This window comes from Homo sapiens, chromosome 6, assembly GCF_000001405.40.
Source record: "Homo sapiens chromosome 6, GRCh38.p14 Primary Assembly".
In the NCBI taxonomy this organism is placed as follows: domain Eukaryota; kingdom Metazoa; phylum Chordata; class Mammalia; order Primates; family Hominidae; genus Homo; species Homo sapiens.
The window spans coordinates 146,800,128-146,814,716 of record NC_000006.12 but is presented as its reverse complement, the minus strand read 5'-3'; the positions used below and the strand labels follow the sequence as shown (position 1 = coordinate 146,814,716).

General features: G+C 36.7%; 1 protein-coding gene and 1 pseudogene across 2 annotated transcripts in view; one reads left to right on the top strand and one right to left on the bottom strand.

Annotated features, from left to right (window-relative positions):
- Window positions 1-14,589, bottom strand: part of ADGB (androglobin) — a 216,491-nt gene that overhangs the window by 746 nt on the left and 201,156 nt on the right. Inside the window, exons 34-35 of the mRNA NM_024694.4 lie at window positions 13,438-13,534; window positions 12,706-12,889 (exon numbers count right to left, since the gene is read on the bottom strand). Of these exons, the coding sequence (NP_078970.3) occupies window positions 12,706-12,889; window positions 13,438-13,534 (281 nt within the window). The remainder of the gene's footprint in view (window positions 1-12,705; window positions 12,890-13,437; window positions 13,535-14,589) is intronic.
- Window positions 10,893-13,048, top strand: KATNBL1P6 (katanin regulatory subunit B1 like 1 pseudogene 6; annotated as a pseudogene). The gene has a single exon (NR_003954.1). The product of NR_003954.1 is annotated as a katanin regulatory subunit B1 like 1 pseudogene 6 (transcript).

The following is a 14,589-nucleotide window of genomic DNA, read 5'->3' as shown; positions in this document are numbered from 1 at the left end:
ATGTCTCTTGCAAAGTAACTGTGCTCAAGAAATTACTAGTTCCCCACATGTATGCTATCCTTGACAAAATATATCTGAGCTGTACTTGATGATGAAGCTCCAAATAGTATGGCCAAATCTGTTGGTTACTTTGCTCTTGTCAGCTTGACTTTCATTCTCACCACTTTAGCAAAACTACTCATCCAGGATACCAAGGCCTTATATGTAGCTATAAATCCTGGATCATTTGTTGTTCTTATTCTTGCTTAACTGCACTCTCTCCTCCTGGATCAACTGATTTCACTTAGCTCTTAGATTGTCTTCTGTCTCACCAGCTGCTCCTATTCAGTCACCTTTGCTGATTTCTCCTTTTCTCCTTCGTCTCTTAAAAGGGAAGTGGCCAAATTAATTGCTTACTGTTTCAAAGATAATATGATCAAAGACTAAGGATTAAAGCACAGATGCTAGTCTGAAAAGACTCTTCTAGAGATGACTGCTTTGTCTTCATCCTTGAATTTATCAAGAAATGTTCCATGTTTTTTGCAACCAGCTTAATTTTATTGAGATGTTGGAAAAGCTGGATGTCAGAATCGGACTTCCTGAAGTTTTTACAAAAGATAGTACTGTAGCTACCATAATAAAACTGGATTGACTAAACCAATTGCACAAGTAGAAGATGATAGTAGTGACATATTAGAAAGAGAGCAAGAGAATGAGCAGGAGAGAGAGATTTTAAGGAGAGTTTGTAAATATGTTTAATATACATCAGTAATCCCTTGAGGAATGAGTATAAAACATTCATTCTCCTATCTGATAAAAATGTTCACGTTTCTTTTAAAATGGCTTCAATCAAAACTCAGGCTCTCTCTGTGCCTCACACATAAATGGGAGTGAACTCAAAGCTGTCTGAGTTAGGGAGGAAATGGGGATAAAATACTATCTGCTGCATTTACTTGGTTATTACACACAAAAACCACAAACAGCAATCCTGAAATTCCCTTTTGTTTTGTAATCTAATCTAATCGATTTCCCACATGGTAAATTGAATTTACACAATTTTAATATCCATTCATTGATTTACTGATTCATTAATTAAACAAACTTTTGCGAAACAGACATTCCTCTGAAGGTCTGGGGACACAACAGTGAATCTAAACAGAATATCTGTCCACATATAGTCTATATTCTAGCAGAGAACAATCAAAAATGAAAGCATAGTATTTATAATATATCCACATTTTCATACACCAATAAATACACATACAAAGTGACCGAGAAAAAAAATTTCTGCATCTGTAGTTGTGGCCCAAATACAGACAACCAGCAGGATTATCTCAGCATTTAGATCTGTATGGTTGGCACAGGTGAGAACACAATAAACCACCAACGGACCCTAATATCCATGAAATTCCACTTGAAACTCTAAGACATATCCAGAAGAACATGCCTTAAAGTAAGAGAACACTCTGAAGAAGTAAGCAAACTGAGAAATGCTGGAGAAAGGGGAGAAAGAATGTTGAGACCAAAGGGTCACGGATTCAGATTACCGCAAGAGAAAAAATATCTAAAGATAGAACTGTCTTGAAAAGCAAGGTCCACAGAAATCTAGTAAACAGGGGCTTAGAGGCAAAAAACTCAATCTGTCATAAAGCAGGATTTTCTGCGAGACAGGTCATTGGGAAATCAGGCCATATTTTGATGATTACAACTCTAAAGGAAAATAAAAATCTCAGATCCCCCAAACTCATTACGCCAAAGGGAAAGATAAGCCTGGAGAGCCTGGAGGCTGAGTCATGCAACACGGCCATTCTTTTCCCAAATGAATAGCTGTTCTTCACAACCTTGTGTCAAAGCATTGCACATTTGTCCGACCCCATAGAAAGGCAAAAAGCTTCACTGTCCAAGTTGTTCCCAGTTAAGTTCTTTGCTGGCCTGGAAACCTTTCAAAAATGTGTATGTTCCCATAAAACAAGGGCATGTCATTGAAAACTTTAGATCTGCAATCCAAATCTAGCACCTAAAACTAAAGTCTGTTAGATTTCACGCTGACAATGTCGATAACAAGTTTGTCTTCCCAGGTGCAGAACATACAAGAAGGGATCAATCATTCCTCCACCTAACCTGAGATGTCTGCATGGTTGATTCTTCCTTTACTCCCTTGTTCTTGGAATGTTCACCTTATCTGATATAAAATGTGCATTTCATGGGCACTGATTAAAATCTCACAGAAATGTGTAACCATTTGCCTCACCACCTACCTGCCTTTTCCTACATGCCTTCCCCCCTTTAAAGAAATGTATAAACATTGAACTTCCTGAAAACCCCTTCAGAGAACACAAGCACAGATGTTTCTGTGACTCGTGTTTTATGTATTTTTTTTTGGGCACCCCCTCAAGCTTAACAAATCTCGAGACATTGATGAAACTCTTGCCTCAGTCTCTCATTGTGGGTCGTCCTCCATCCATAAAGCTGGGAGAGTTCCTTTAGATTCTTTGTCATTTATATGAACCTGCTTCTAATAGTTTATAAAACTCAATCTCTTAAATAATGGGGAAAAATCTGTTATTAAAGATAATGAGATAAAATGAAACAAATAATACTTAGACAGAAAATGAAAACATCCCAGAGAAGTATGCTTTGATCAGAAGAAAAATGTAACATAATGATTCAAAATAAGCTACAAAGAAACTATCAGAGCTTTGGAAAAATAGCAAAAATCAGAAATAGAAAAAGCTTAAAGAGTAATAGTTTAAAAAACACAGCAGGCTGGGCACGGTGGCTCACACCTGTAATCCCAGCACTTTGGGAGGCCAAGGCAGGCGGATCATGAGGTCAGGAGTTCGAGATCAGCCTGACCAACATGGTGAAGCCCCGTCTCTACTAAAAATAGAAAAAAAAATTAGCCAGGCGTGGTGGCACACACCTGTAATCCCAGCTACTCAGGAGGCTGAGGCAGGAAAATCACTTGAACCTGGGAGGTGGAGGTTGCAGTGAGCTGAGGTCACACCATTGCACTCCAGCCTGGGAGACAGAGGGAGAGTCCATCTCAAAAACAAAACAAAACAAAAAAACACAGCAAGAAAAGTAAAGAAGAAGAAAGCAAGTGAAAACTATCAAACAATTAATAGCAAAAAATATCTGAAAGTAATTGATCAAAAATACATCACTTAAATTGTAATGACAAATTGTTTGCAATGATTTTTATCTAACTTGAGAATATATAATAATGTTACTACTTGAATATCCTGAATATATTTACACACACTACCTGAATATCCTGAATATATATATATATAAACACACAAAGACACACATACATGTATATATAAAATTCATAAATTTATATATGAATAAATTATGGTATATTTGTACCATGGAATGTTACACAGCAATTAAAAAGAATAAATTACCAGTGACTTGAAGAGATTCTGTGTTGTTTGGTGAGAAAAAGCAAGACACATTGTATTATGCTTTAAAAAATGCCATTTTGTAAAACAAACCAGTATATAAAATATTGGTGTGAGCATATGAGATGAATGAAAAATATGGAAACATTCAAAATAGGTTGTTTCTATGTGTGTATTTTGGGAGCTGGGGTCATAAGGTTGTGAAGCTAAGAGTAGGCAAAGGATAATGTGAAAATGCACATTTGCATTTATTAAATTAAGTAACATTACATATACAAGTGGGCAGATGTATAAAATATTAAATTAATTTTTCATGTAAACTTTAAAAAATTTTTTGGAAAATAAACTGTATATGTTCGAAGTATACCACAGGATGGTTTGATATATGTGTACACTGAATGATTAATATAATCAATTTAATTACTACTATTGATTCTGATGGCACCATCCATTCTGTACCTGAAATACACAGAATTTGTCAGCTTATAACTACATGTTTGTACTCTGACCAACATCTCCCCATTTCTCTCACCCCTAAGTCTCTGGTAACCACTGTCCTACACTTTGCTTCTATGAGTTCAACTTTCACAATTCCACATGTGAGTGAGATTATGCATTATTTTTCTTTCAGTTTCTGGCATATTTCACTTAGCATAATGCCCTACATGTTCATCTGTGTTGTTGCAAATGGCAGGATTTCCTTCTATTTTATGGTTCAATTATATTCCATTATATATATATATACCACATTTTCTTTATTCATTCATCCATTGATGGACACTTAGGCTGTTTCCATATCACTATTGTAAATAATGCTGCCATGAACAGAGGGTTGCAGACCTCTCATAGACATACTGATTTCATTTCCTTTAATATATACCCAGGAATGGGATTGCTGGATCATATGGTAGCTCTAGTTTTAATTTTTTGAGAAACTTTCATACTGTTTTCTGTAACGGCTATTGCAATTTACATTCTCACCACAGTGTGTACAGGGTTCCCTTTCTCCACACCCTCCCCAACACTTATCTCTTGTCTTTATGATAAAAGCCATCTTAACAGGTGTGAGGTGAGATGTCATTGTTTTGATTTGCATTTCTCTAATGATTAATGATGCTGAGTACCTTTGCATATACCTGTTGGTCATTCCTGTGTCGTCTTTGGATAGGTGTTTATTCAAGTCCTTTGCCCATTTTTAAAACCAGGTTATTTGCTTTTTTTGCTATTGAGTTATATGAGTTTTTAAATATATTTTAAATATTAGCCCCTTGCCAGATATACAGTTTACAAGTATTTTCTCCCATTCTATAGATTGTCTTTTCATTTTGTTGTTTTCTTTGCTGTGCAGCAGCTTTTTATTTTTATGTAGTCCTACTTGTTTATGTTTGCTTTTGTTGCCTGTGCTTCTGGTGTCATCTCCAAAAGAAATTGCCAAGACCAATGTCAAGGAGATTTTTTCTGTATGCAATCTTCTAAGCATTTTATGAGTTCCAATGTTACATTTAAATCTTTAATCTATTTAATTTTTTTGTATAGCATAGGGCAATGTTCCTATTTTATTCTTTTGCATGTGGATATTTAGTTTTCCCAACATCATTTTTGAAACGATTTTCTTTCATCATGTGTATTTTTGGCATCCTTGTCAAAAATTAGTTGATCATTTATGGGAGTATTAAATATTTTTAAGCTGGATGTGGTGGTTTATGCCTGTAATTCCAGCACTTTGGGAAGCAAGCTGACATGGGTGGATCTCTTGAACTCAGGAGTTTGAGAACAGCCTGGGAAACATGGTGAAACCCCGTCTCTACAAAAAAATACAGAAATTGGCCGGGTGCCATGGCTCCAGCCTGTAATCCCAGCATTTTAGGAGGCCGAGGGGGGTGGATCACCTGAGGTCAAGAGTTCAAGACCAGCCTGGTCGACCTGGTGAAACCCCCGTCTCTACTAAAAATACAAAATTAGCCGGGCGTGGTGGCTGCACCACTAATCCCAGCTATTCAGGAGTCTGAGGCAAGAGAATCACTTGAACTCAGGAGGCGGAGGTTTGCATTGAGCCGAGATTGCGCCATTGCACTCTAGCCTAGGCAACAAGTGTTAGGAAAAAGCTGAGTGTTGGGACAAAAACTGAGGCAGGGCTTGCATGTCTGACATAATGTCCTCTGGAATGTGTCTAGACTTGCTGGCCTCTTGCTTCTAGCCCTCCTAGGCTCCTATTCCCATTATCTCAAGTAGCAGAACATGTTCCACATAAATGCTAAACCGTCACAGCTGTAGATATGCGCCTGCCCTTTTGACCTCCACATTCTCACCACCTGTTTCTTTGTTGATTACCAATAAATAGCGTGGGCTCCCACAGCTCGAGGCCTTCGCGGCCTCCACGATCGCAATGGCCACTTGGTCCCAGCTTTCTCTCTCAAACTGTCTTTTTCTCAATCCTTTGACTCCGCTGGACTTTGTCACCCCCACGACCTGGTGTTGGGTATGATCACCCCAACAAGAGTGAAACTCCATCTCAAAAAAAAAATTAGGAGGATGGCTTGAGTCCAGGAGGTAGAGGTTGCAGTGAGCTGAGATTGTGCCACTGCATCCCAGCCTGGACAGGAGAGCCAGACCATGTCTCAATAAATAAATATTTTAAATAACAAAGATTAACAGTAGAAAGGATAAGTAAAATCACCTGCCAAAGTGAAACCGCTTTCACTGGTTAAAAAATACTATGAGAGTTTTGAGATAGTCATGAATTAGAAGTGTGCTTTTGGAGAAAGTCAATTTCCTGCTATGTGCCTCAGTTAAATCCACTCATTGCATTGTTCTAAGACTAGGGTATAACAACTTCATCTGTGTCTTAGAGAAAACACAACACTGGTGAGCATGAAAATGGATGTTTGAGATCACACGCTCTCTACACCCAGGTGACCATGATGGGTTGCTAGGATCTAGAGTCCTAACACTTTGGGTGGGCTAAGCCAGGGTAGTTCTTGGTCTATGAAGGAGGTTTCTTGAAGTTCAGTTTTTAAAAATGGCATAATTTGGCCCAAAGTGGTGGCTCACGCCTGTATTCCCAGCACTTTGGGAGGCCGATGCGCGCAGATCACTTGAGGTTAGGAGTTCGCGACCAGCCTGGCCAACATGGTGAAACCCCGTCTCTACTAAAAATACAAAAGTTAGCAGGGTGTGGTGGCAGGTGCCTGTAATCAGAGCTACTCAGCAAGCTGAGGCAGGAGAATCACTTGAACCTGGGAGGCAGAGGTTGCAGAGAGCCGAGATTACACCAGTGCACTCCAGCCTGGGCAACAGAGTGAGACTCAGTCTCCAGAAAAAAAAAAAAAAAAAAAAAACTGAAGCATAGTTATTAGTATTTTTAAACTTTTAAAGTTTAAGACTAAATTTCTTCTAAGAACAAAAGCCACTTTTCTCATCGCTGAAATTTTCAAAGATAATCCTGTTGCTTTATGAACTTGTTTCACTTCTAATTAAAAATGCAGGCAGTTTAGAGTGTCAAACATATATTTTATTACATTTTAAATATTTGGAAGCTATTTTATTGAAATTAGAGCATCTTAAACTCGAATGGCTTCAAATACTAGCTTTCTGAGGAAAACTAACAAGTTAGCATTAAAATATTTCTAAGAAAGAACAATTTCTATTTTCAGTTGGCCCAATATCTTATCAGCAGGCAGTTAAAGATCATTACAAATAAATTTTTTCTCTCCAGAAGCAGGGTGGTATTGGACATCCCCTGGTTACTTTTTCTTTCCTTTCTTTTTTTTCTGTGTGTCAGGAGCTGGGGTCATCTTTTCTGTCTCCAGCTTCATGGCGGCTTCCTGAGCAGAGAGAGCTTCCAGCTTTAGGTGCTCAGCTTCCAGCAATTTGTTTCTGTACTCTTCCCGGATGTCGAAAATTTTCTGTCGGGCTTCATCTAAGGAGTCCTGTTCCAAAGCAAAACCCCAAACAAATAATTCCACTGGTAAAGGCTTACGTTCCCAGAAAGAAAAAAATGAAATTCCTTTAGCCTGTCCTTATGCCCACACATTCATAGGCAAAATGATTGAAGATGAAAATTAGTGTATGGTCTCAAAAGCTTATCAATACACAAAACATAGCAACAAAGGGTTCATGAGATTTTAACACAGTACGGCAAAATAAAAACAGTTGTAGAAAAAATAGTCAAAACATACTTTTTTTTACCAAAGGTATTCTGTTTAAATTATTTCAAATATAATCTATATGAGATATTAATAAGCCCAATGTCTCTTGCAAAGTAACTGTGCTCAAGAAATTACTAGTTCCCCACATGTATGCTATCCTTGACAAAATATATGAGCTATACTTGATGATGAAGCTCCAAATAGTATGGCCAAATCCGTTGGTTACTTTGCTCTTGTCAGCTTGACTTTCATTCTTCATCAAGGATACCAAGGCCTTATATGTAGTTAAATCCAAGATCATTTACTGTTCTTATTCTTGCTTAACCGCACGCTCTCCTCCTGGATCAACTGATTTCACTTAGCTCTTAGATTGTCTTCTGTCTCACCAGCTGCTCCTATTCAGTCACCTTCACTGATTTCTCCTTTTCTCCTTCATCTCTTGAAAGGGAAGTGGCCAAATGAATTGCTTACTGTTTCAAAAGTAATATAATCAAAGAATAAGGATTAAAGCAGAGATGCTAGCCTGAAAAGACTCTTCTAGAAATGGCTGCTTTGTCTTCGTCCTTGAATTTATCAAGACATTTTCCATGTTTTTTGCAACCAGCTTAATTTTATTGAGATGTTGGAAAAGCTGGATGTCAGAATCAGAATTCCCGAAGTTTTTACAAAAGATAATACTGTAGCTACCATAATAAAACTGGATTGACTAAACCAATTGCACAAGTAGAAGATAGTAGTGACATATTAAAGAGAGAAAGAGACAGCAAGAGAATGAGCAGGAGAGACATTTTAAGAAAGTGTGTAAATAAGTTTAATATACATCAGTAATCCCTTGAGGAATGAGTATAAAACATATTCATTCTCCTATCTGATAAGAAATATGTTATTGATCATGTTTCTCTTAAAATGGCTTCAATCAAAACTAGGGCTCTCTCTGTGCCTCTCACATAAATGAATGGGAGTGAACTCAAAGCTGTCTTAGTATTTTTTCCCCGTTTCCTATCTGCTGCATTTATTTGGTTATTACACACAAAAACCACAAACAGCAATCCTGAAATTCCCTTTTGTTTTCTAATCTAATCTAAATTATTTCCCACATGGTAAATTGAACTTACACAATTTTAATATCCATTCATTGATTTACTGATTCATTAATCAAACAAACTTTTGCAAAACAGACATTCCTCTGAAGGTCTGGGGACACAACAGTGAATCTAAACAGAATATCTGTCCACATATAGTCTTTATTGTAGCAGAGAACAATCAAAAATGAAAGCATAGTATTTATAATATATCTACATTTTCATATGCCAATAAATAAATGCACATGCAGGGTAAGTGCCTTCAAGAAAAATAAGACTAGGCACGGTTACACAAATTTTGAGGGTAGTAATTGTGAAAGAGCAGCTGGTGAAGATCTCTCTAATAAGTGACCCTAGATAAGAGATCTCATAAAAGGAAAGTTTCACATTCTACACTTTGGGGAAAGAATATTCCAGGAAGAGAGAGGAGTGAGGTCAAAGGCCCAGAGGTGGGAACATGCCTTGCTGTTAGTGGAAAGGCAAAGTCACCTAGGCAAAAGGTGGATAAAAAGATCAGAGAGGAAAGCTCTGGAGGTCATAATCAAGATTTTGGTTTATTTCTTAATGAAATGTAAAGCCATTAGGGAAGTGAAATAATTCTACCTTCATTTTAAATATGCATTATGATAACCATTAGTGTAATTCACAAAATATTGCTGGTTATCTTCCAGGTACCTCGTAGCATTGCCCTCCCTCTTTATTAGCTTGCTGGGGCTGCTGTAAGAACCACAAATTGGGTTTAGACAACAGAAATGCATTGCCTCACAGTGCTTGATGCTACAAGTTTGGCATCAAGGTGTCACCAAGGTGGGTTCCTTCTTTGAAGTTGTATGTGACCATGTGACTTGCTCTGGTCAGTGAAATGTGAGTGCAAATGAATGTGCCATTTCTGGGTAGAAATAGTCACAGCCAATGTGCAATTCCCCATGTTCTCTTCCCCTGTTGTAATAATCATGGTAGAGGTGTCTCTATGGAAGCTCCTTCAGCCAGGGGATCTTGATAAGAAGGTTGCTCTATTGAACCGCACTGGACACATAGCTAGAATGAGAAATACCGTTTTACTGTTTTTAGCCAGAGTTGGTGAACTAAGGCCTGTAAAGTTAATCTGGCTTATTGCTTATTTTTCTAAGTAAAGTTTTATTCATTTTGCCATTATCCTATTTATTTAGGTATTATCTGTGATCTTGTGTAAAAAATGGTAATGTTGAGTAGATGCAACATAAATATTTCCTATTTGGGCCTTTACAGAAAATAAGTCTGCCAAACACTATGTTAGGCCACTGTGATATTGGGGGTTTTGTTACCACAGGATAAGCCTAGTTTGTCGTGATTGGTACAATTGTTTTGTGGCAAAGCAGAGACCACATTGTGGAGGGGCAAAGATGGAAGCAGTTAGATCAGTAACTGGGCTATAGCAATCCTCTGAATAAGAAAGAATGACAGGTTAGGCTAGGGTGGTGATATATATGTTGGATATATTTTCAAGGTAGAGTCGAGAGGTTCTGACAATTGATCGCACGTGGGGAGTGACAGAAGTCAAAGATATCTCCATAGTCTCTGCTTGGGCAACTGAAAGAATGCAATTGGTATTGACCGAGATGGAGAATCTTGGTGGGGTGACATATTTGCGCTGAGATGGGAAGGAGGGCAAGCATTCTTGAATTTGGATTTAGAGAGGTTCTGTTTGAGGTGCCTATTGGACAAACAAGAAGAGATGTCAAATAGGCACATTCATCACATGAGCCATTACTGGAAATGACAGTCTCACTGTAGCCAAAATATTTAGAATTTCCTATAGGCTTTAGTGTCTTTGGGGATGTGTAGGAGTGTGTGCGTGTGTGTTGCAGGGAGAAAAAAAGATTCTCATTATCCGTAGTGGGAAGTTATCCATATATATTTATTGAATTTCCCCTTTTCTAGTATGATACTCCCATTTTCAATAAAGTATAGTCTTCCACAATTTAGAAATCCTTTTTTCATTTGTTGTCATCTCTAATTAAAGGACACCTATTCTTCTACTGGGGTGAACGGATGACAATAATCTGGATGCAAAAAGTTGAAGTGGTGATCTGCAATTCCTAAATAGCCTTAAGCTGAACAAACCCAACTATTTTCATCTTCCTCCTACTTCACTTTTACTTCCTAACATATCTGCTGCCACCAATTGCTAAGCCTTTTTGGGGATTCTGTAGGCATTCTGAGGAGCTAATTGGCTTGTTAAGACTTTTCCCAGCTATCCCGGCAGGCCGCGCGCGCGGCCGCGTTTGAATGGCCCTGAGTGGGACTCGGCCCAGAAGCCGAGGGACGCTCTAGGCTGCCGGGCGCTGATTGTCAGCGCGGAGGCTGGGCTGAGGCGCCGCGGTACCATGAGGCGCCGGTACTTAAGAGATTATGGCATCGGAAACTCACAATGTTAAAAAACGGAACTTTTGTAATAAGATTGAGGATCATTTCATTGATCTTCCTAGAAAAAAAGATCTCTAATTTCACTGATAAGAACATGAAGGAGGTTAAGAAGTCTCCAAAACAGTTGGCTGCTTACATAAATAGAACAGTTGGACAAACTGTGAAAAGCCCAGATAAACTTCGTAAAGTGATCTATCGCAGAAAGAAAGTTCATCATCCCTTTCCAAATCTTTGTTACAGAAAAAAACAGCCCCCTGGAAGGTGGGGGCTGTGACATGGCAAATAAAGAAAATGAACTGGCTTGTGCAGGCCACCAGACTGAAAAATTACACCATGACAGTCGAACATATTTGGTTAACTCCAGTGATTCTGGTTCTTCACAGACAGAAAGCCCATCATCAAAATATAGTGGGTTTTTTTCTGAGGTTTCTCAGGACCATGAAACAATGGTCCAAGTTTTGTTCAGCAGGAATATGAGATTGAATGTAGCTTTAAGTTTCTGGAGAAGGAGAAGTATAAGTGAACTTGTAGCTTATTTGTTGAGGATAGAAGATCTTGGCGTTGTGGTAGATTGCCTTCCTGTGCTCACCAATTGTTTACAGGAAGAAAAACAATATATCTCACTTGGCTGCTGTGTAGACTTGTTGCTTCTAGTAAAGTCACTACTTAAAAGCAAATTTGAAGAATATGTTATAGTTGGTTTAAACTGGCTTCAAGCAGTCATTAAAAGGTGGTGGTCAGAACTATCATCCAAAACAAATTTTAAATGATGGAAATATTCAAATTTTAAAACAACAATTAAGTGGATTATGGGAACAGGAAAACCATCTTACTTTGGTTCCAGGATATACTGGTAATATAGCTAAGGATGTAGATGCTTATTTATTACAGTTACATTGAGAGATTTCATCTACTAAAGAGGATTTGGTTTTTCAAAACATCCCTGAACTGTGTAATTTACAAAAAAAGTCTCGTCTGAGAACTGTGAACTGTGGAAGAAATCAAAACTATTTTTTCTTTTAAAAAGCCACATAATGAAACCACTAATGAAATCCCAACAATCTGCTTCACATTGAAGTGGAAAAATATCCGAAAGGAGCAGCTTCAATTTCATTGAGGTGAAAGTGCACTATGTAGATTGTTCACCTTTGCTGCATTTGGGAATTATATGGTTATTTGGTAACATTAAGAACTACTGGATTTTAATGCAATCCTGCATAAAAATATAATTTATACTATGTGAAAAAATAAGACAGGACTTACCACTAGGAACCACCAAGACCAATCATCATTAACTTTAAGATTGTGTTTTATTTAAAAAACACTTAAAAAAAAAGACTTTTCCCACTGACAGTTTAGGATTTGTATGTCTCAAGCTGATTAATATGATCTTCATCCAGTTATTTTCCAACTTGAACAAATAATTTTGTTGTTGTTTTCTCTCCTATTCTTCCCATCTTTGAGGATAGATTCCCAATACTGCATTTTAGGGGGATTTTAGGGAGGGAGTGAGATGAGATGTGTAGAATCAAATTTGTGATGTTTTCCTAGAAGTTGTGAATAATAGAAACCTATGTTTTCAAGACTTATTTCTATACAAAATATTATTTAATTATATAATTTCTTTTTAATGTTACGAAAGAATTTGCCAACTATAATCTATGTATGTGCTTTTAGACTCACCTGCATTTCCTTATACATATCCAGGACTTCATCCTTTAACTTCAACCGCTCTTCTTGGTCAATGTTTCGAATGCTAAGGACTCTGGTCCTATGCTGTCGAAACTGATGAATTTCTTCCGCCTTTTGCATTGCCTGCTGCTGATTCAATTCATCTGTTTGCAGCAGAGGATCTGTATCTGTTTTCCTTGATACAAAAGTCATCAAAAGATACAGATTTCATTTGGGAACTCTGGAATAAGCTTCACTTTAGACATCAAATAATTTTAAATCATATCAACAGTGTGGTGGTCTGAGTCAAATAAAACATTAGGGATAGAAAAAATAAATGGTTGTTTTCTAGATATGCTATGCTCCATTTATTGAGTCACTGATATTTTAGGAAAACATTTTGGAGAATATCAGTGAATTTGGATTCACCACTTGATGAGGTGATTGTGAAACTTGTGTTCAAAACTATGAGAATATCTTGTAGGTTTTCCTTTGAATTTATGCAGCTAATAATTTTGATGATGTTTTCAAACTTATAAATATGCTTAATATATTTCTATCATCTAGTTATTAAAAATTGAATCTAATTAAATAATGGTAGCAGGTGTGATAGAAATTTTTTGTAGCTCATCTCACCTTAATCAGGCCTCAAATTAAATCTTTACAGAAAACATTTAAGTATTTTAATAATCGATTTAACAAAACACACAGTTGTCTGCATCAATCATGTTTATGAAAACTTACCGAACATATTGACTTAAATCCATAAATTCTAGTGCTTTTCGAATAAGTCGTGGAGATGTTTCCAAAATTGTTGGAGATCGTGTACGAGGTCCTGTTTCTTTAAAAAAAACACACACACAACAAAAAACCTAGGCTTTAAAAAATAATAATGACTAACCAAATGACTATATCTCATTTTAATTGGTTGTTTTTCAACAGAAAATATTTTCATTCACCGGACTTGTCTTATTTAACATAATGTTAATAATATATATAATTATATGCTTATATTTTGTTTATCCTCTAGCTGGTGTTACTATGCTTTTAGTTAAATGAGGGAGATGACAAAAATGAAAAATTTAAAAAATGCTATTCTAATCACAGTTAAATGGAGGAGAATTAGTCTCCATTAATAAGAACAAGTCTTATGTTAAGTTACAAAATTTCATTACAAACAAGTTAAATGGCCCAGTATTTAATGAGATTGGGCTTTGCCCAAATGCTACACTAAGTACTACCGGGCTTGGGATATAAATAGATTTTTTTTACATATTTATACTGAAATACTGAAAACAGTATTTTACCTTCAATAAACTTGTAGTCCAGTGGAGTAGGCAATATATAAAAGATAAACACTGAAAATCAAATTAGCAGCAGCTTTTTAATCCATAGAACAGTATCGAGCCCACAAGAACAGATTTAAAAGACTTGAGTCTAGGATATTAACTTTTCAGCATTTCCAGACCACTGCTTTTTTTTTAAAAAAAAGCTACTGAAGTATAATTTACACATATAAAATTCAACCATTTTAAGGTTCTAATTCAATACTTCTTAGTAAATTTACCAAGTTGTGTGACCATCAACAAAATCCAGTTTTAAAACATTTTCATCATCCAAATAAGATCTCTCTTGTGTCCTATAATAGTCACTTTGTGTTCTCACCACAAACTCCGGGCAATCATTAATCTACTTATGTCTCTACAGATTTGTCTTTCCTGGACATTTTATGTAAGTAGGAGTGGATTACTGGGTCATATGGTAAAATTCTTCAACTTTCAAAGAAAGTGTCAAACCACGGTGTTTTGATCATTATTTTTAACTTTATGACCAATTTTGAAATTACATAGTAAAAATCTCCCTGCTTGGTTCATTTAAAAAAAAAGAAAAAAGTTT